General features: G+C 46.7%; 1 pseudogene; it reads left to right on the top strand.

Annotated features, from left to right (window-relative positions):
* Nucleotides 1-4532: 4532 nt before the first annotated feature.
* The window catches only part of LOC100996731 (proton channel OTOP1-like), a 34022-nt pseudogene continuing 17727 nt past the window's right edge, over nt 4533-20827 (top strand).

Genomic DNA, 20827 nt, shown 5'->3' on the forward strand with positions numbered 1-20827 from the left:
CCGGCCATTTCCTTCTTTTTAAGGTTGAATAATATTCTGTTGTGTATGTATACAATGTGTATACATACACACATTTTCTTTGTCCATTCATTCATCCATTGATGGATGCACAGGTTAATTCCATATCTTGACTATCATTTGTGTGTTATAGATTAAATTTTTGCTCACCAGAAGATCTGTTGAAATCTTAACCCCTGGTTCCTCTGATTGTGGCCCTATTTGGAAATGGAGTCTTTGTAGATTTAATTAAGATGTAAATTACAATGAAGTCATACTGGAGTAGGTTGGGCCCTTAACCCATTATGACTGGTGTCTTTATAAGAAGAGGAAAAGAGACACAGATACAAAGGAAAGATGGTCAAGTCACAACAGAGGCAAAGATTGGAGTGATACAGCCACAAGCCAAGGAATGCTAGGGGTTGCCAGCAACCAGCAGAAACTGGAAGAGGCTGGCGATGACCCCCCATTGGAGCCTTCAGAGGGAACTTGGCTCTTCTGACGTCTAGATTTTGGACTTCTGGCCTCCCAAACTGTGAGAGAATAAATTTTCATTGTTTTGAAGCCACCCCGTCAGTGGCACTTTGTTAGACCCACCCACTTGGCTGTGCACAGTGACTCATGCCTGTAATCCCAGCACTTTGGGAGGCCGAGGTGGGTGGATCATGAGGTCAGGAGCTCAAGACCAACCTGGCCAACATGGTGAAATCCCATCTCTACTAACAATACAAAAAATTATCCAGGCATGGTGGTGTGTGCCTGTAATCCCAGCTACTCGGGAGACTGAATCAGGAGAATCACTGGAACCCAGGAGACAGAGGTTGCAGTGAGCCAAGATCACACCACTGCACTCCCGCCTGGGTGATAAGAGTAAGATTCTGTCTCAAAAAAAAAAAAAAAAAAAAAAAAAAAAAAGAAGTGAATACACTGTCTAACTCTTTTGTTCTTAAAAATACTGGGATTACATAGCTACCACCAAAGGTGACTGGGGGCAAAATGTGCTAATTGCCCCTTGGGACCTTCTATTATCTCTGGTAGTTGAGAGTGCCAGTGGGCCTCTGGCCTTGTGAAATCCTGTCAACTTCACTGGAAGAAGGGAGCTCATGTGATCATTAAAAAGGAAACAACAGGTGCTGGAGAAGATGTGGAGAAATAGGAATGCTTTTACACTGTTGGTGGGAGTGTAAACTAGTTCAACCATTGTCGAAAACCGTGTGGTGATTCCTCAAGGATCTAGAACTAGAAATACCATTTGACCCAGCGATCCCATTACTGGGTATATGCCCAAAGGACTATAAATAATTCTACTATAAAGACACATACACATGTATGATTATGGCGGCACTATTCACAATAGCAAAGACTTGGAACCAACCCAAATGTCCATCAATGATAGACTGGATTAAGAAAATATGGCACATGTACACCATGGAATACTATGCAGCCATAAAAAGGATGAGTTCATGTCGTTTGTAGGGACATGGATGAAACTGGAAACCATAATTCTGAGCAAACTGTCGCAAGGACAGAAAACCAAACACTGCATGTTCTCACTCATAGGTGGGAATTGAACAATGAGAACACTTGGACACAGGATGGGGAACATCACACACCGGGGCCTGTCATGGGGTGGGGGGAAGGGGGAGGGATAGCATTAAAAGAAATACCTAATGTAGATGACGAATTAATGGGTGCAGCACACCACCATGGCACATATATACATATGTAACAAACCTGCATGTTGTGCACATGTACCCTAGAACTTAAAATATTAAAAAAAAAAAAAGAAAAAAAGGAAGGGAGCCCATGCCCGAGGGCACCATGCCTCCCTGTCCATCTGCGTGGTACTGAATCATCACTGGGAAGCAGCTGCCTGGTCAGGACGTTTCCAGCTTTTACACTGATTGAGCCATGCCACACAGTTCTCAGGACACAGTGTGGGCAGGGGTAACATGCACCAAATGTGGTGAAAACAGCAGGCCTGGGCACCACCAGAGCACCATTTCTGACCCCTTGTATCTTCCCATCATGGAGCAGGGGTCAGTCGTAAGAAATTGGGGGCCCCGTGTGGCTCAGACTTTTGAAAAAAATCTCACTGGTGGAAGGCAGAACACAGTGTGGGTAAATCTCTCAGTTTTATTTATGTATTTATTGAGATGGAGTCTCTGTCATCCAGGTTGGAGTCCGGTGGCACAATCTTGGCTCACTGCAACCTCTGCCTCCTGGGTTCAAGAGATTCTCCTGCCTCAGCCTCCCAAGTAGCTGGGATTACAGGTGTGCACCACCACACCAGCTATTTTTTGTATTTTTAGTAGAGACGGGGTTTCACCATGTTGGCCAGGCTAGTCTCGAACTCCTGACCTCAAGTGATCTGCCTCGACCTCCCAAAGTGCTGGGATTACAGGCTCTCAGTGAGTTTTAACATTGTCTTGAGATTACAATAAAGGGGGCTGACTTTAGCCTCCAGAAACTTTCATTTCATTGCTTCTTAAAAAAATGCAGGCCAGGTGTGGTGGCTCATGCCTGTAATCCCAGCACTTTGGGAGGCCAAGGGGTGGATCACCAGGTCAGGAGTTGAGACCAGCCTAACCAACATGGTGAAACCACATCTCTACTAAAAATACAGAAATTAGCCGGGCATGGTGGCAGGCGCCTGTAATCCCAGCTACTCGGGAGGCTGAGGCAGGAGAATCGCTTGAACTCAGGAGGCAGAGGTTACAGTGAGCTGAGATGATTGTGCCACTGCACTCCAGCCTGGGTAACAGAGTGAGACTGCATCTCAAAAACAAACAAACAAACAAACAAACAAACAAACAAACAAACAAACAAACAAAAGTGCAGGTAGCCCAGAGACAGGCATTCCACTTGATTTTCAGATAGTGACTGAGTGTTATTTATCTTTGTACTCAATGGGTTAAGGTACTGCTAGCTGCTGTAACATTTCAGACTTTGGTGGCTTAGCACAATGGAAGTTTATTTCTCACTGATGTAAGGTCCAGCTTCGGGAGGAAAAGCCACCTCACTAGTCACTGGGGAGACACGCAGACAGGCTCTTCCATCTTCAGCTCAGCCTCCCAGGTTGCTCTGGCTGTTGGTAGGAAGAGGAGGGGAGAAGGTGGAGGATTCCCAGTAGGTTTGCTGGATCCTCTCTCTGGACTGCCTTTCCAGACCCCTGCTCCCTTCCACCTGGCCATCCACTCCTAAGCCTAAAGAATGTGCAGGAGGCTGGACGTGGTAGCTGGAGCCTGTAATCCCAGTGCTTTGGGAGGCTGAGGTAGGAGGATGGCTTGAGCCCAGGAGTTTGAGATCAACCTGAGAAACACAGCGAGACCCCTGTCTCTACAAAAAACAATTTTAAAAAACTGAGCCAGGCGTGGTAGCACACACCTGTAGTCCCAGCTATTTGGGAGGCTGAGGTGGGAGGAGCACTTGAGCCCCAGAGTTCGAGGCTGTAGTGAGCTATTATCACACCACTTCATTCCAGCCTGGGAGACATAGGGAGGCCCTGTCCTTATTAAAAGATAAAAATAAAATAAAGAAAGAAAGAAGACTGTGCAGGTGTTGCCTCCTCCCTGAACCTCGCAGCCTTCCTGCAGACCTGGGCTCCTCCCAGGCCCCTGGTGGTAGCCCTGCTCAAGGGTGCTGTGCTGCTTACTCTGTCCCCACCCCCAAGCTCTTAGAAGTTGAGGGCTAAGTCTCACAGGTCACGCTCCCCAGCTTCCCAGTCAAGGCTCATTAGCTGTTTGTTTATTGCTGTTTCTCTACCTGAACATCAGCTCCACCTGAACAGAGCCTTTCATAGCTGAAACCCCAGCGCCTACAACAGAGACCAGCAAATGATTCATAGGTCAACACATACATGTGTGTTGATCAAATGAATGAATGCATGAATTGGAAGAATGATGGCGGCAAGGCAAGGTCCCCCAGGTTGACTTCTTGCCGGCCCAGGACTCCCCACCCCTCCTTTACTAGTCAGGACCTGCTATTGCAATTTGCTGCGCTTAGCGCAAAACAAAAACCTGGGCCCTCTTGTTCAAAAATTAAGAATTTCAAGACTGCAAGAGCCTTAAACCAAGAGGGAGAGGGTGTCTTCCGGGGCCCAGCCCCGGGCTGCTGCATGGTGGGATGGGGGCTCGCCCCAGGCTCGCTCCCAACTCCCCTCTCCAACCTGCAGCTGGGGGGCTGGGGTCCACCGCCTCCTGTCAGCCACGCCCGACCGGTAGAACGCTCTTCTGCAGAAACTTCCCAGACCTCCACTTAATGGCACCCGAGCAGGGCGCCCTGGCAGACGCAGTCTCCTTCCGGGAGCAGGCAGGTGCAAGGCAGGCACCGGGGCTTTGGAAGGGGCTGGTGGAGATGCTTGGGCGCCGGTTGCCCCAGGGCAGACCCTGGGGCCTCCCTCATTCCAGCTCCTCTGCGTCCAGAATGGCTGCCGCTCCTTTGGGGGAGGGTGCGGGATGGTCTCTTTTCTTAGAAAGTGGCTCAGGTCTTATTCTGCGCCTGGGCGTCTCGCAGCCGACACACAGGCACACCAGATGGACAAACAGAAAAACCCACAGAAGGCGGCCCCTCCCCCAATTCAGAGAGCCAGTGACTGGCGCTCCTCCACCCCTAACCAGACACACCCGAAAACAGACGGCCAGACACAGAGTGACCGGCACAGAGAAGACAATACAGAAATACGCAGGGACAAGGACAGACCATCGGACGCTCGGACACGGACCCAGGCAGGATCACCTGGACCTCTGGGTTCCCCAACGGAGACCCTCGGGGAAGGCCCGGAGCATAGCACGCCCCTGTGGAGCCCCGTGCGCCCCACTTGGCAGCAGCCACGCCCCCCGCGCACACCCCACTTCGGGCTGGCTCTGGAAGACCCCCTCTCCCCAGCCCCGCAACCCCGGGACTCTGGGAGGCATCTCTCGTCACCCAGCGTTTCTGAGGCGCCGGGACAGGGGCTGGGTGGGTGGGCGTCGGCGCAGGAGTGAGGGCTGCAGACGGTGGGCGGGGGCCGGGCGCGCGGGCGGAGGTGCGGGAGGACGCGCTAGTGTCGGGGCAGGGCTGGCCAGTGTCCCAGGGATCAGGAGCCGGGAGCGGTCCGCGTGGGTCCCGGAGGGGACAGATGGCTGCCCCGGGCGTTGCCCAGTGAGGGGCAGTGGGCAAGGGAGCTCGTAGAATCCCGGGTCAGCGGGGTGGGGCGCTGGGTAAGTGGACAGGGTGGTACCTTGACTGAGGACGAAGGGGCAGAAGAGGGGAGGGCGGGCGTCGGGAAGTGACAGGAGACGGGGCAGGTTGTTGGGGGCGTGGGGTAGGAATCGGAGGGGAGTTGAAAAGGGGGGTGCTGGTTGGCAGAGGCGTCGGGGCAAGGACAGGAGCCAGGAGCGCAGGCGGGGCCCGACGGCAGCCACCCCCGGGGCCAGACTTGGCGCGGGTGTCTTGAAGATGCTTGAGGGCCTGGGGTCGCCCGCCTGGCCCCGGGCAGCTGCGAGCGCCTCAGTCGCGAGGTCATCGGGGCCCGCGGCCTGCCCGCCTCCCTCGCCGTCGGCCCCGAGGTGCCCGGAGTCCCCGGCCCCCCGGAGGGGCGGTGTGCGCGCCAGCGTCCCACAGAGGCTGGCCGAGATGCTGAGCAGCCAGTATGGGCTGATCGTGTTCGTGGCGGGGCTGCTGCTGCTGCTGGCCTGGGCCGTGCACGCCGCGGGCGTGAGCAAGAGCGACCTGCTGTGCTTCCTGACGGCGCTCATGCTGCTGCAGATGCTGTGGTACGTGGGCCGCAGCTCCGCGAACCGCCGCCTCTTCCGCCTCAAGGACACGCACGCCGGCGCCGGCTGGCTGCACCGGCTGGTGAGTCCAGGCACCGGGCAAGCGGGTCTCTGCCTCCTCGCCCGCTGGCTGCATCCTGAGACGGCTCTGCCCCCTTCCTACCACTGCCGTCTTCCCTTCAGCCTTTTCTGCCTTGGTCTCTCTGTGCATCTTTCCTAGCTTTCCTATCTGCCCTTCCTTCTTTCCTCTCTCTCTCTCTCTCTGAAGCCTGGGTCGTCGCAGGAGCCTCCTCTCCGCCTCCAGACGCTTCCATCATTACAGCCACAGTTACAGAAACCTCTCCTGTCCTTCCCTGGCTTAAAGCCATACAGTGGCCCTACTGACCCCATGAGGGAGGTCACGCTCCCTCTCCTGACACTCAGAGCCTTCTAGCACCCGGCCACCGAGGGCCCGTTTCCTTTGATCCCCTTCTTTGTTCTCATCCTATGCTGGGGTCATTCTCGAGGACTTTCTCTCCTGTCGCAGGATCTCTGCCTCTGCACATTCAGCACCTTTGGTTCCCTCCTCCAGGAATGTCTTTTCCACTCTCCCACCTGCCCCTCTGCTTTCCGAGACAGGCCTCAGGCCTCACCCCATTCTCCCCGCGAAGCTTCTCCGACCCCCTTCTCTTCCCCGCTTTGCAGGTCTGACCGCACGCTCCCAGCCCGCACTGGGTTCCAGTGTTCTTGTCGACATGTCTGTACCCTCCACTCCACTGGGGAGCTCTGTGATCCCTGTCTCTCGGTCCTAGAGCCACCTCAGGGCCTGGCACAAGTGGGTGTTGAGAAAATGAGGGGGGATGAATGATGTAATGAATGCGTGGATGCAGGGTGGGGCAGAGAGGGATAGAGGCTCCTGCTGGTACTCACGGGCATTGGCTGAAATCGTCAAGATAGGAGCTCTTCCTTTCTCAAGGGGCTGCCACATCTTTTTTTTTTTTTTTTTTTTTTTTTTTTTTTTTTTTTTTGAGACAATGTTGCTCTATCTCCCAGGCTGGAGTGCAGTGGCACAGTCACAGCTCACTACAGCCTCTTCCTCCTGGTCTCAAGCAATCCTCCCACTTCAGCCTCCTGAATAGCTGGAACTATAGGTACACATGGCCTTGCCTGGCTAAGTTTTGTTATATTTTGTACAGATAGAGCCTCGTTGTGTTGTCTCCTGTTCTCAAACTCCTGGCCTCAAGGGATCCTCCTGCCTTGGCCTCCCAAAATGATAGGATCACAGGCATGAGCCACTGTGCCTGGCTGGGGTTGCCAGTCTTGAATGGGAGACAGACATGGTGCAGGTGAAAGGGAGGAGGCCGTGGGGAGCATGCTTGTGAAGAAAGCTTCTGTCTGAGTAACCTTCCCAGGAGAAGCCGACTGCATTTCACACCACGTGGTCCAGACACATCACACATTGCCACTTGGATTCTCATATTAGACCTGAATTTAAATCTCCATTAGAGTGGGGCTTCCGTGTTCCTTGCATGCATGACCTCGGGCAAGTTGCTTGATTGCCTTCCTTACCCTGAACCCTGGTGTCGGCATCTGTAGAATGGGGATCTCACACTGGATAGGATCCAGTGATTGATGAGGTGGCTGCCCAGCACACACTAGGCCTCCTTTCTGCACTTCTTTCAAAGGTCCTGGCCAGATGCCACCTTCTTCACAAATGCCTGGCAGGAATTACTCCTCACTTCCATGGGCCACCATGGCCCTCCTTCTGTAAAGCTCTTTTGGTCCTTGTCTGTTTCTGCCTTGTATTATGACTGTTGAATATTAGCCTTATCATCCAGAAGAGATTTTAGACTTCTTAGGCTCAGGGACTGGATCTAGTTCATCTTGCTTTTGGGGAAATTTGACACCATTGCAGGGTGGCCCAAATTCCTGTTCTGAAATTGGTTGTTTTAGGGAAGTTAATGGTTTTGTGACTCTGTGAATGACAGTGAATCTGGTGCTATTTAAAACAAGGCACAAAGTGTTATTTTAGGATATTGACTTACACAGGCTAAAAAGTATTATACACATGAGCCTTTACCTGTGTTTTCCTACAGTCAAAGCCCCCTTGTTTGTTCCTCACTTCTTTTTCTCCTCCATCCTTTTTTCTCCCTTCTTCCTTCCCTCTTTCTCCTTTCCTTTCTTCCTCTTCCCTCCCTCCCTATTCCCTCCCCTTCCCTTTTCTCTCCCTTTTCTTCCTTTTTATCTTTTTTTTGAGATGGAGTCTTGCCCTGTCACCCAGGCTGGAGTGCAATGGTGCGATCTCGGCTCACTGCAACCTCCGCCTCCCGGGTTCAAACGATTCTCCTGACTCAGCCTCCCAAGTAGCTGGGATTATAGGCGCTTGCAACCATGCCCAGCTATTTTTTGTATTTTTAGTAGAGACGGGGTTTCATCATGTTGGCCAGGCTGGTCTCGAACTCCTGACCTCGTGATCTGCCTGCCTCAGCCTCCCAAAGTGATGGGATTACCAGTGTGAGTCACCATGCCCAGCCTCCCTTTCCTTATTTTTTTCCTCATTTTCTTTCTCTCTTCTCCTCCTTCATTCTTCCTTCCTCTCTTCCTTCCTCTAGCCTTCCCTCCACTATCCCTCTTCCCTCTCTCCTCTCTTTCTCTTCCTTCCTCTCTTCCTCTCTCCTCTGCTGTTTTTGTTTTTGTTTTTGAGATGGAATCTCACTCTGTTGCCAAGGCTGGAGTGCAGTGGCTAGATCATGGGTCACTGCAACCTCCATTTCCTGGGTTCAAGTGATTCTCCTGCCTCAGCCTCCTGATTAGCTGGGACTACAGGTGCACATGCCACCACACCTGGCTAATTTTTGTATTTTTTAGTAGAGACAGTGTTTCACCATGTTGGCCCAGTTGGTCTCAAACTCCTGAGCTCAGGTTATCTGCCTGCCTTTGCCTCCCAAAGTGCTGGGATTACAGGCATGAGACACCACGCCCAGCCTGGTGCATTTAGAATGTGTCTCCTTCTCCTTCTCCTCTCCTTCTCCCCCTCTCCCTCCCCCTCCCTTCCCCCTTCCCACCCTCCCCTTCCCCCTCCTCCTCCTCCTCCTTCTTCTTCTTCTTCTTCTTCTTCTTCTTCTTCTTCTTCTTCTTCTTCTTCCTCTTTCTTCTTTTTTCTACTCAGTCTATCCTTATCCAAGGAATGCTCTTCTTTATATTGAAGTGCAGTTAACTTCCCAGAACCATCATCCTCTTCCCTGGAGCTTCTATCATCATTCACTTATTTATCCACCATGCATCCATCCACCCATCCACACTTATTCATCATCCATCCATCCATCTATCCTTCCATCCATCCATCCATCTGTCCATCCATCCATCTGTGTTTTTTTGTTCTTCCTCTCTCTCTGCCTCCTTTCAGGTTGACTCCGAGCATTGGCGCCTGAGTCTATGGGTGAATGGTTGCACCATTTCCCAAGATTGGGAAGCCAAAGGGAAGAGCAGGGTGGGGACACAAAACCAATGACATGTTACAGTTCTCTTATGGACATGCTACATTTGAGGTGTCTTTGGGACACTAAGTAGAGAGGGAATAAATGGGCAAGGTAGAGAGAGCACGTGATAGGTGTTCAGTAGGTGGTAGCTCTTTAGACATTCAGTGAGTTGCCCCATAATAATGTAATTCAAGTGAGGTGTGTGTATCATGGAAATGGTGTTGGCTCTGGAGGGCTTGGCTTGAGGTCTCAGCTCTGTCACCTTCACCTTTCTGAGTTCTGCTTTCCTCATCAGTAAGATAAGAATCCCAGTCGACTCTCTGGGAGGAGCTGGGGGATGTTGAGAGAAGCAGTTTGCAAAGCCCTGGCCATTCCTGTGGGTTCCTCAAAGAAGCAAGACGCTAATTATTAGTGTCGAGAGGCCCCGACGCCAAAAGGAAGCACCTTCAGCCCCAACAGGGACTGGGGTTTCCTCTGGAATTCTAGCTGGAAAGACAGGTTTGACCCGGGAACTCAGCTCTGCCCTGGTGTTGGTGACAATCTTAGATCAATAGGCAGAGGGCAAGTCCCTCAGGAAAAAGACCAGTGATCCTCAAGATCCATTCTGGGGCCACTATGAGGGTCTTGCTTAACTGCATGCATTTTCTTACTTATTTCTTTTCTTAGATGATATTTCTGGTCCAATGGAAAATATAGACATAGTGTCACGATTTCAACACAAACGAGCGAATGTGGCTGCCAAAAAATCAGATGCAGGCTTGGCTTTCATTGGAAAGGAAATCAGACTGTGTGTGGAGGGTCTCATCCTCCTTGAGCATTTCACAGGCCCTTGGAAAGAGTGGCGGCAGGAGGAGCAAAAGGAGGTTCAGTCCAGAAGAGAGAAGGATGCGGAGGTCACAGGGTAGAAAGTGCTGCTGCCTTGCACCTGTCAGCTCCAGGCCATCCTCTGTCTTTCAGCAAGTAAGAGTCATTTCCTCTGGGAAGCCCCTCCCGATAGTTTCAGACCAGGGGAAGCCCCCATGTTGTATGGTCTCATAGCACTCTTCATTTTCTTTCTAGCACTAATCAAGCAGGATATTGTATTATTCAGTGACTGTTGGGGTAGCCAGACTGAGCCCCTAAAGGCAGAGACCCTGTCTGAATGTGCTTACCATTGTATCCCGAGCTCCTGGCACAGTGCCTAACATGTAGTAAATGCCAATTCCTAGCTACTGAATAATTGGATGATTGAATGATTGGGTGGATGGATGGATGACTAGATGGGTGGATGAATAAGTGAATGATGATAGAAGCTCCAGGGAAGAAGATGATAGTTCTGGGAAGTCAACTGCACTTCAATATAAAGAAAAACATTCTGAAGTAAGCACCAGGCCATGCGTGGTGGCTCACGCCTGTAATCCCAGCACTTTGGGAGGCTGAGGTGGGCAGATCACCTGAGGTCAGGAGTTTGAGACCAGCCTGGCCAACATGGTGAAACCCCGTCTCCACTAAAAATACAAAAAGCTGGGCATGGTGGGACACAGCAAATTATGAATCATTTGCTGATCTCTGTTCTAGGTGCTGGGGTTTCAGCTATGAAAGGCTCTGCTCAGGTGGAGCTGATGTTCAGGTAGAGAAACAGCAATAAACAAACAGCTAATGAGCCCTCACTGGGAAGTTGGGGAGCGTGACCTGTGAGACTTAGCCCTCAACTTCTAGGAGCTTGGGGGTGGGGACAGAGTAAGCAGCACAGCACCCTTGAGCAGGGCTACCACCAGGGGCCTGGGAGGAGCCCAAGTCTGCAGGAAGGCTGCGAGGTTCAGGGAGGAGGCAACACCTGCACAATCTTCTTTCTTTCTTTATTTTATTTTTATCTTTTAATAAGGACAGGGTCTCCCTATGTCTCCCAGGCTGGAATGAAGTGGTGTGATAATAGCTCACTACAGCCTCGAACTCTGGGGCTCAAGTGCTCCTCCCGCCTCAGCCTCCCAAATAGCTGGGACTACAGGTGTGTGCTACCACGCCTGGCTCATTTTTTAAAAATTGATTTTTGTAGAGACAGGGGTCTCGCTATGTGGAGTGCCTGTAATCCCAGCTACTCGGGAGGCTGAGGCAGGAGAATTGCTTGAAACCAGGAGGCAGAGTTTGCAGTGAGCCAAGATCATGCCACTGCACTCCAGCCTGAACAACAGAGTGAGACTCCATCTCAATAAAATAAAATAAAATAAATTAAAATAAAATAAAAATAAAACACAAAGTAAGTACCAGCTGGTGATGGAAGGGTGCGCTTTGAGAGATGTTGAGCCTCCCAGCCCTGGGCTTGTCCAAGTAGAGATCAGATGGCTTCCGGTCATGATGCATTGGAAAGCATTCTTGCATGGGATAGAATGCAGACTAACTCTGTGGGACTTTCCGCCTCTAAGAGGGGGGTTCAAGATTCTAGACTCCTAGGAGGGATTTGGGTGCCTAACAAAGAGGAGGGGGTTCCCTCTGCCATCACTAGATGGGTACCCTATGTAGTCTTTGGATTATTCTCAAGTATTGTAGCTGGTAAACTTTCTAATTGGTTCTAATGCATCAACATTTTCTTGGCGATTGAGTGATGATAATAACATCCCGCTTATAGAACTTTCTAGGTAAGGAACACTGTTCTAGGTGACTTCCATGTAAAGACTCACTTAATCTCCTCAGCACCCCTATGAGATAAGTGTTATTACTGTCATTACATCTTAGAGATGGGGAAACTGAGGCAAAGGTAAGTTAAGTAATTGCAAAATTATATATGTATATATATTTATACATGCATAAATATATATGTATATGTGTATATATACTTATCTATGTATATGTGTATATATATACTTGTATATATATATTTATACATATATATGTGTTTATATAAATCAAAATCTGTTTCATTTGGGCACATGTGTGGCTGTTATAGCTTCCTCATACAGTCGTTGTGTTTTTTGTTTTTTGTTTTTTTTTGGGACAGAGTCTCGCTCTGTCGCCCAGGCTGGAGTGCAGTGGCGCGATCTTGGCTCACTGCGAGCTCTGCCTCCTGGATTCATGCCATTCTCCTGCTTCAGCCTACCAAGTAGCTGGGACTACAGGCACCCCCCACCACGCCCGGCTAATTTTTTGTATTTTTGGTAGAGACGGGGTTTCATCATGTTAGCCAGGATGGTCTCGATCTCCTGACCTTGTGATTCGCCCACCTCGGCCTCCCAAAGTGCTGGGATTACAGGCGTGAGCCACCACACTGGACAGTCTGTCTTTTATTATATGTAGTGATAAAAGAGGAAGGATTCTTTATCCTACTTAATACATTAAATCCCGTATGGTCTGATATTAATATTGCCATTCCAACTTTCTTTTTGTTTGCATTGCCTGATTCCTCTTTGTCCACTACTTTATTTTAAACCTTTATTACTTTGTTAAAGGTGCAATTTGTGTAAAGATCATGTAACTAGGTTTTGTTTTTAATTCAATTTTCCTATTCTTGCTGACTACTTAGTGGGAGGATTTAGATCATTCTAATTTATAGAAATAATTTATGTAGTTGACTTTTTTGTTTCCATTTTTCTTTTCGATGTTTATGATGATATATTTTACATTCCTATTTCTTCCTTTTCCTCTTCCACATTTGTCTTTTTTGAGCATTTGAAAATTTATTCTGATTTTTTATTCCATTCATGGCCATTTTTTTCTTCCCTCACTCTCATAATCTGATGCATATTACTTCATTCTTTTTTTTTGAGCCGGAGTCTCACTTTGTTGCCCAGGCTGGAGCGCAGTGGCATGATCTCGGCTCACTGCAACCTCCGCCTCCCAGGTTCAAGCGATTCTCCTGCCTCAGCCTCCTAAGTAGCTGGGACTACAGGTGCCCATCACCACACTGGGCTAATTTCTTGTGTTTTTGGTAGAGACAGGGTTTCACCATCATGGCCTGGCTGGTCTTGAACTCCTGACCTTAAGTGTTCCGCCCATCTTGGCCTCCCAAAGTGCTGGGATTATAGGTGTGAGACACCGCGCCCAGCTGCCTATTACTTCATTCTTATTTGAAAACAAAATATTGAACATTTCCCTCAGCAAGCCACACTGTGTCCCACTCCAAGATGTTCACTGCTCCCACTTCCTCTCTACCTAATGGGATGAGATCTTTAGGATACGTTTGCCTCCCTATTCCTTTCCCTTCTTCCCTCTCCTTCTTTTCCATTTATTTACCTTGAGGGCTTTCAAAGGTTTTTCTTTGTTCCCTATCCAGTCCTTTTCCAACTTAGGTTTTTTGTTGTTGTTGTTGTTGTTTTGTTTTGTTTTGTGTTGTTTTGTTTCAGATGGAGTCTCGCTCTGTCACCCATGCTGGAGTGCAATGGTGCAATCTCAGTTGACTGCAACCTCTGCCTCTTGGGTTCACACCATTCTCCTGCCCCAGCCTCCCAAGTAGCTGGGACTACAGATGCTTGCCACCACGCCAGACTAATTTTTGTATTTTTAGTAAAGACGGGGTTTCAGCATGTTGGCCAGGCTCATCTCGAACTCCTGACCAAAGGTGATCCATCTGCCTCGGCCTCCCAAAGCGCTGGGATTACAGGTGTGAGCCACTGTGCTTGGCCGAACTTATGGGTTTTGTAGAGATAGTTAATAGAATTTCGCCTCAAAATGTCTATTCTGTATGACAAGTCTTTATAGGGTATGTAAATTACACATCTCAGGCAGTTTATCCATTTGAATTTAAGTTCTTCTTTTCTCTCCTATTAATCTAATTATCTATCTCCATCTGTCTCTCCATCCATTATACCTCCACCCTCCTCTAGCCTTCCACAGAGTTGATTGGTCACTATAATTTGCTCTCCTCCTCATCTTCCCCTCTTTTGGGGACTCTCTTCCAGTTCACAAGCTCCTTGGTTAAAGTCCTTTGTCAGACAAGTTATGTGGATGACAGTTTTCTCTGTTCTCTGTTCAACAATCACCTCCTTTCCTGCCCATGTACCTTCAACCTCAGTCCCCTTTTCTGCTTTACTTTTCTTCATGCACTTAGCACTTCCTGACATTCTTTATGTGTTTACTATTTACCGGTTTATTTTTTGCCTTCCCCACTAGATGTGAAACTCCTCAAGGGCAGATACTCTATTTTATTGACCTTTATATCTTCAGTGCCTGGGACAATGCCTGGCCCATGGTTGCTGCTCAATAAATAGCTGTTGAAAAAATTACATTTTGTATACTTCAAACATCATTCTGCCTTTTGCCCTGACACATGGGCGACATCTTAGCTGAGAATAAGGTTTTTGAGGTGCAGTCCTTTCCTTGTGGCACATATGTCCACTGTCTTCTGGTTTCCCAGGCTGCACAGAGGAAGTCTGTTGCCAGCTCATCTCTCTGATATTTTGTGCACACCCTAATTTATGCAATATTATACTCGTATATTTTTGTTTCTACAGCAATCTCCTATGTCTGTCTTTGAGCCCTTGGCACAATGTCTCATGCATAGTAGGAGTCCCCAAGGTGTTTGTTGTATAAACAACTGGCTGAATGAATCCATGGATGAATGGATGAACACAGGAAGAAAGGGAGGACTGAAAGAGTATATTATTGAACACTTGGCATGTCAACCACAGAGATGGTCTAGACCAGTAGTTTTCAAAGCGGGGCCTAGATCAACAGTGGCAGCCCCACTTGAAAACTTGTTAGAGATGAAAATTTTGGGGCACCACCCAGACCTACTAAATCAGAAACTCTGGAGGTGGAGCCCAGGAATTTGTGTTTTAACAAGCCCTGCAGGTGATTCTGATGCAGTTTCCAGTTTGAGAACCACTGCTGTAGACCATCCGCATTTTCTGTATGGGAATCCTGAGGTTGGGAGCAGGAAGTGACTCATGTATTCTGTGAGTGTCCAGGTCTCCGTACTTTCAGGCCTGTACTCTTGCCACTCAACCACGCTGCCTCACCTGATCTTGCTATGTTTTTTGTAATTAAAACCAACCACGTATTTGTCAAAACATTTCAAAGCACTGGGATTGAATCTCCACTCTTACAACGTTTCCGATTTCATTGGGGTGTTTCCAGGATTAAAAATGTGAGTTAGAGTTGTTTCTATAAGGCTTTGAGCAGTGGAAAAGTGCCAGGCGATTGCATTACTTTTCAGAGGAGGCTTCTCAGGCTGGGGCTGTAACGTTATAGCCCAATGTTATGGCTCATGCCCTCCTCTCTGCTCAGTGCCTTAATGCATGTCATACATGATCCAGTTTCCTCCTGTTGGCAGGAGCAAATGTGTAAATGGCAGTCATTGCTAGCCCAGGAGGGAGATGAGGAACTCTGACTTGATCAAGCACTCATGATCATTGCCTTTTTCTCACTAATTTCTTCATTTGTCACCAAGTGTCTTTTTAATGTATTTTGTACATTCCTTTCCAGTCTTTTTTATATGCAAATTTTTTATTAGTTTGTCTTTATGTTTTGGGCAAAGCCATGCTCATTATACTATCAAAGATTGCTTCCTTTCCTCAGTACACCTAGCACAGGCCCTTCCTCAGCTACTACTATAGAGCCCTTACCCATCTATTTTTTTTTTCTAATATACTTTCAGCCGGGCTCAGTGACTCATGCCTGTAATCCCAGCACTTTGGGAGGCTGAGACAGGCGGAGCACTTGAGGCCAGGAGTTTAAGACCAGCCTGGCCAGCACACCTGTAATCCCAGGTACTTGGGATTGAGGTTGAGGCACAAGATCACTTGAACCTGGGAGGTGGAGGTTGCAGTGAGCCAAGATCGTGCCACTGCACTCCAGCCTGGGTGACAGAACAAGACCCTGTCTCAAATAAATAAATAAATAAACTTTCCATTTTAGAAAAGCTTTAGATTTATGGAAAAGTTGCAAAGACAGTTCAGAGAATTCCTGTATACCTGTATGACCTGCACACTCTGCACTCTTATTTCTTATTATTTCTTATTAATATATATATATTTTGAGACAGAGTTTCACTCTTGTTGCCCTGGCTGGAATGCAATCATGCAATCTCGGCTCACTGCAACCTCCACCTCCCGGGTTCAAGTGATTCTCCTGCCTCAGCCTCCGGTGTAGCAGGATTACAGGCATGCACCACCACACCCGCTACTTTTGTATTTTTTAGTAGAGATGGGGTTTCTCCATGTTGGTCAGGCTGGTCTCGAACTCCCAACCTCAGGTGATCCACCCACCTCGGCCTTCCAAAGTGCTGGGATTACAGATGTGAGCCACTGCACCCAGCCAGCTGCACTCTTATTCTTTAGAGAACAGGATTTTAGGATTAGAGAACTGAGATTTTTGAGTAGAGCAGTGACATTCTTAGATTTCTCCTTTTTGAAAAAGCTTCTGGGAGCATTCTGTTGACTGGACCAGGCTTCGTTGATTGTGTATCATTTGTCAGACTCTGGGCTATGGGGTGGGTACAATGATGAACGGGACACAACACCTGCCTTCTAGTTTTACCTTCGCAGCTCAACAGTAGAATTTGTTTATTTATTTAGAAATAATTATTATGTTATCTTTGGGTAGAGATGGGGTTGCTTAGGCTCTTGGCCTCAAGTGATCCTCCCGCCTTGGCCTCCCAAAGTGCTGGAATTACAGGCATGAGCCACCATGCCTGGGCTAGAATTTATTTTATTAATATATTTTTAATTATGGTAAAACATGCATTTATATACATAAAATTTACCAACTTAGCAGTTTTCAAGTGCACAGCTCAGTGGTGTTAAGCACATATGCACTGTTGTGCAACCAACCTCCAGAACTTTTTCATCTCGCAAAACTGAAACTCTGTCCTCATTAAACACTAACTCTTCATTCTTCCCTCCCTCTAGCACCTGGCAACCACCATTCTATTTCTGTCTATGAATTTGCTTACGTTTGATACCTCATATAATGAAATCCTACAGTATTGTCCTTTGGTGGTTGAGTTTATTTTACTTAGCATAATGTCCTCATGGCTCATCCATACTGTATCGTGTGTCAGAATTTCCTTCCTTTTTAAGCTGAATAATATTCTGTTGTATGTCTATACCTCATTGTGTTTATCCATCCATCTGTTGATGGATGCTGGGTTGCTTCCACCTTTTGGATACTGAAAATAATGCTGCTATGAACAGGAGAATACAGATATCCCCTCGGGTCCCTGCTTTCAATTCTTTTGGGTATATACTCAGAAGTGAAAATGCCAGATCATGCCATAATGGTATTTTCAATTTTTTGAAGGCCCTCCCTACTGTTTTCAGTAGTAGCTGTACCAATTTACATTCCTACCAACAGAGCACTATTTCTCTATATCCTCACCAATGCTGGTTATTTTCTATTATTTTCTTTTTTTTTTTTTTTGATAGTAGCCATCCTGATAGTGTGAAAGTATTTTGTAGTTTTGATTTGCATCTCTCTAATAATTAGTGATGGTGAACATCTTTTCATGTACTTGCTGGCCATCTTTATGTCTTCTTTGGAGATATGTTTATTCAAGTCCTTTGCCAATTTTTAAATTGGCTTTTGTCATTGTTGATTGATCGATTTTTGGAGACAGAGTTTCGCTCTTGTTGCCCAGGAGTGCCATGGCATGATCTCGGCTCACTGCAACCTCTGCCTCCCTGGTTCAAGGGATTCTCCTGCCTCAGCATCCCAAGTAGCTGGGAATATAGGCATGCACCACCATACCAGGCTAATTTTTGTATTATTAGTAGAGACAGGTTTCACCACGTTGGCCGGACTGGTCTCCAACTTCTGACCTCAAGTTATTCACCCTCCTCGGCCTCCCAAAGTGCTGGGATTACAGGTGCGAGCCACTGTGCCCAGCCCATTGCTGTCAATGTATAAGAATTCTCTATAAATTCTCTCATAGCAGCATTATTTTCAGTATCCAAAAGGTGGAAGCGACCCAGCATCCATCAACAGATAGATGGATAAACACAGTGAGGTATAGACATACAACAAAATATTATTCGGCTTAAAAAGGAAGGAAATTCTGACACACGATACAGTATGGATGAGCCATAAGGACATTATGCTAAGTAAAATAAACTCAACCACCAAAGGACAGTACTGTACGATTTCATTATATGAGGTATTTAATGTAAACAAATCTGTATATTGTGGATATTAATGACTTATTAGGTATATAATTTGCTAATGTTTTCTCCGGTTCTGTGGGCTGTCTTTCCACTTCGTTGGTAGCATCCTGTGATGTGCAAAAATTTTTCATTTTCATGTAGTTCATCTTATTTATTTTAATTTTTGTTGCTTGCATTTTTGGTGTCCTAGCCAAGAAATTATTGCCAAAGCCAATGTCATGAAGCTTTCTCCCATGTCTTCTTTTACAAGGTTTATACTTTTATGTTTAGATCTTTTATCTGTTTTGAGTTAATTTTTGTATATGCTGTAAGGTGAGGGTTCAAATTCATTCGTTTGCATGTGGACATCCAGTTTTCCCACATTTGTTGAAAAGACTGCCCTTTTCCCATTGAATGGTCTCAGCACCCTTGTGAAAAAATCATTTGACCATATACATAAGGGTTTAATATGTAATATAATTTATTTTGAAATGACATCAATGTATATTAATGGAATGTGTGTGTTTCCACTTCCCCCTTTATCCCACATTTAGGTAGTATCACATTGTTTGCAGTCATTACCATCATCCTGGGATGCCTTAAAATTAGATACTTCATTGGATTTTCAGAATGTTTATCAGCCACTGAAGGAGTTTTCCCTGTCACCCATTCAGTGCATACTTTGTTGCAGGTAAACCACTGATGTTTATTCATGTTGTCTCATTCCTGTGAAGTGTATCCCAGGTTGTGTAGAAACTTGTAACATCAAGACATGTGGCAAGTGGAGACAGTGTGCACAGCTGTGAACTGCAATGAACTGAGGTGAACTGAAGTCTATCTTTGAGGCTTAATTCTTCAGCTGCCTCCATTGCAAAATAAAACTCTGTGTCCCCATGGCCATTTTTGCAGGGATCCTATGAGGCAGAACTTCTAATGATGAAGAGTCAGGAAATTCTGCCAAGCCAGGGTCTACAGTAAAAGCTTGAGGGAGTTTTATTTTCTGGGTATGTAACAGGTTTATTGAGAGAATTCACATGGCATATAATTCACCCATTTAACATGTGGAATTCAACGGTTTAGTCTGTTCATAGAGTTATGCAACCATTGCCAAAATCAATTTTATTTTTTAAAAAAATTTAATATTCTTCCTACATAGAAACCTTGTGCCATTGCAATGCCTCCTCTGGGTCATGGAAGCGCTTTTGTTTTCTCGTTTGGGGATTAAAGTCTTAGAAATGTATAAGGATTTTTTCCCACAGCATTGGTAAACTTGGTATGGCTCAGAAGGAAGGATTTGATAAATATAATTTAAATACATAGCTTAGGGTCAGAAAAATCTCATGGTTGAAAAGAATGTTAGATGGGCTTTCAGGGTAGTGTTCGCCCTTGGCAGAAATCCGTGGTAATGTTATCAGAGTCAGGATCTGAATTGTTGAATTATCAGTCTCATTTTTTTTTGTTTTTTGTTGTATATGTTTAAGGTATACAACATGATTATTTGATATTCCTATCCATAGTGAAGTGATTACTACAGTCAAGCATATTTATGTCTGTCATCTCACATAGTTGCCTTTCTTTTTTTGGATGTGGTAAGAGCACCTAAAATCTATTCTCTTAGCAAATTTCCAGTATACAATACAATAGTATTAACTACAGTCTTCACGTTGTCCATTACATCTCTAGAATTATTCATCTTACGTATTTGCAACTTTGTACCCTTTGACCAAAATCTTCTAATTTTTCCCCTCCAACTACCATTCTACTCTTTATGTTATTTTGTTTTTATTTATTAATTTAATTCAATTTTAGAGACAGGGTCTTGCTCTGTTGCCCAGGGTAGAGTGCAGTGGTGCCATCACGGATTACTGCAGCCTTGAATTCAGCTCAAGTGATCCTCCCGCCTCAGTCTCCCTAGTAGCTAGGACTACAGGCCCACATCACCATGCCCAGCTTCTACCATCTGTTTTTATGCATTGGATTAAAAACGTTTTTCTAGATACTACATATAAGTGAGATTATGCAGTATTTTTCTTTCTGTGTCTGCCTCATTTCACTGAGCACAATGTCCTCCAGATTTGCCCATGTTGTTGCAAATGGCAGGCTCTGCTCTCATTTTTTTCTAACGAAGAAGTTGGAGCTCAGAGAAGACAAGTGACTTGCTCAAAGTCACTGTGGAGACACAATGATTATTTTCTTCCTGACAAGTCACCCTGGAAGACCATGAACTTGTTCTGGTGATACTGCCATTGCTGGAAATATTTTTGGATTTCCAGTTTGAGAAGGTTCTTTGGAAAGTTTTCTACCTCTAGAAAACCAGGGATGACATGTTTAAAACTTCATCTTTTATCCAAAGTGACCGTCAGCTTGTACCCCCAGCTGACTTACCAGACAGCACTGGATGACCTTAGAGTGTTTCTCTAGATCAAACACATTCTCAAACAGTGAAGCTAACAGACAGAACGTGCCCAGTGAGCCTGGAAACAGTTTAGCTCCATGGTGGCATGGTGGGATCACTGGGGAGCTTGCTGAGGGGCTCATTTGGAGGGGCTGCCTTGCACTTGAAAGC

Source organism: Homo sapiens, chromosome 1 (assembly GCF_000001405.40).
Source record: "Homo sapiens chromosome 1, GRCh38.p14 Primary Assembly".
Classification (NCBI taxonomy): Eukaryota; Metazoa; Chordata; class Mammalia; order Primates; family Hominidae; genus Homo; species Homo sapiens.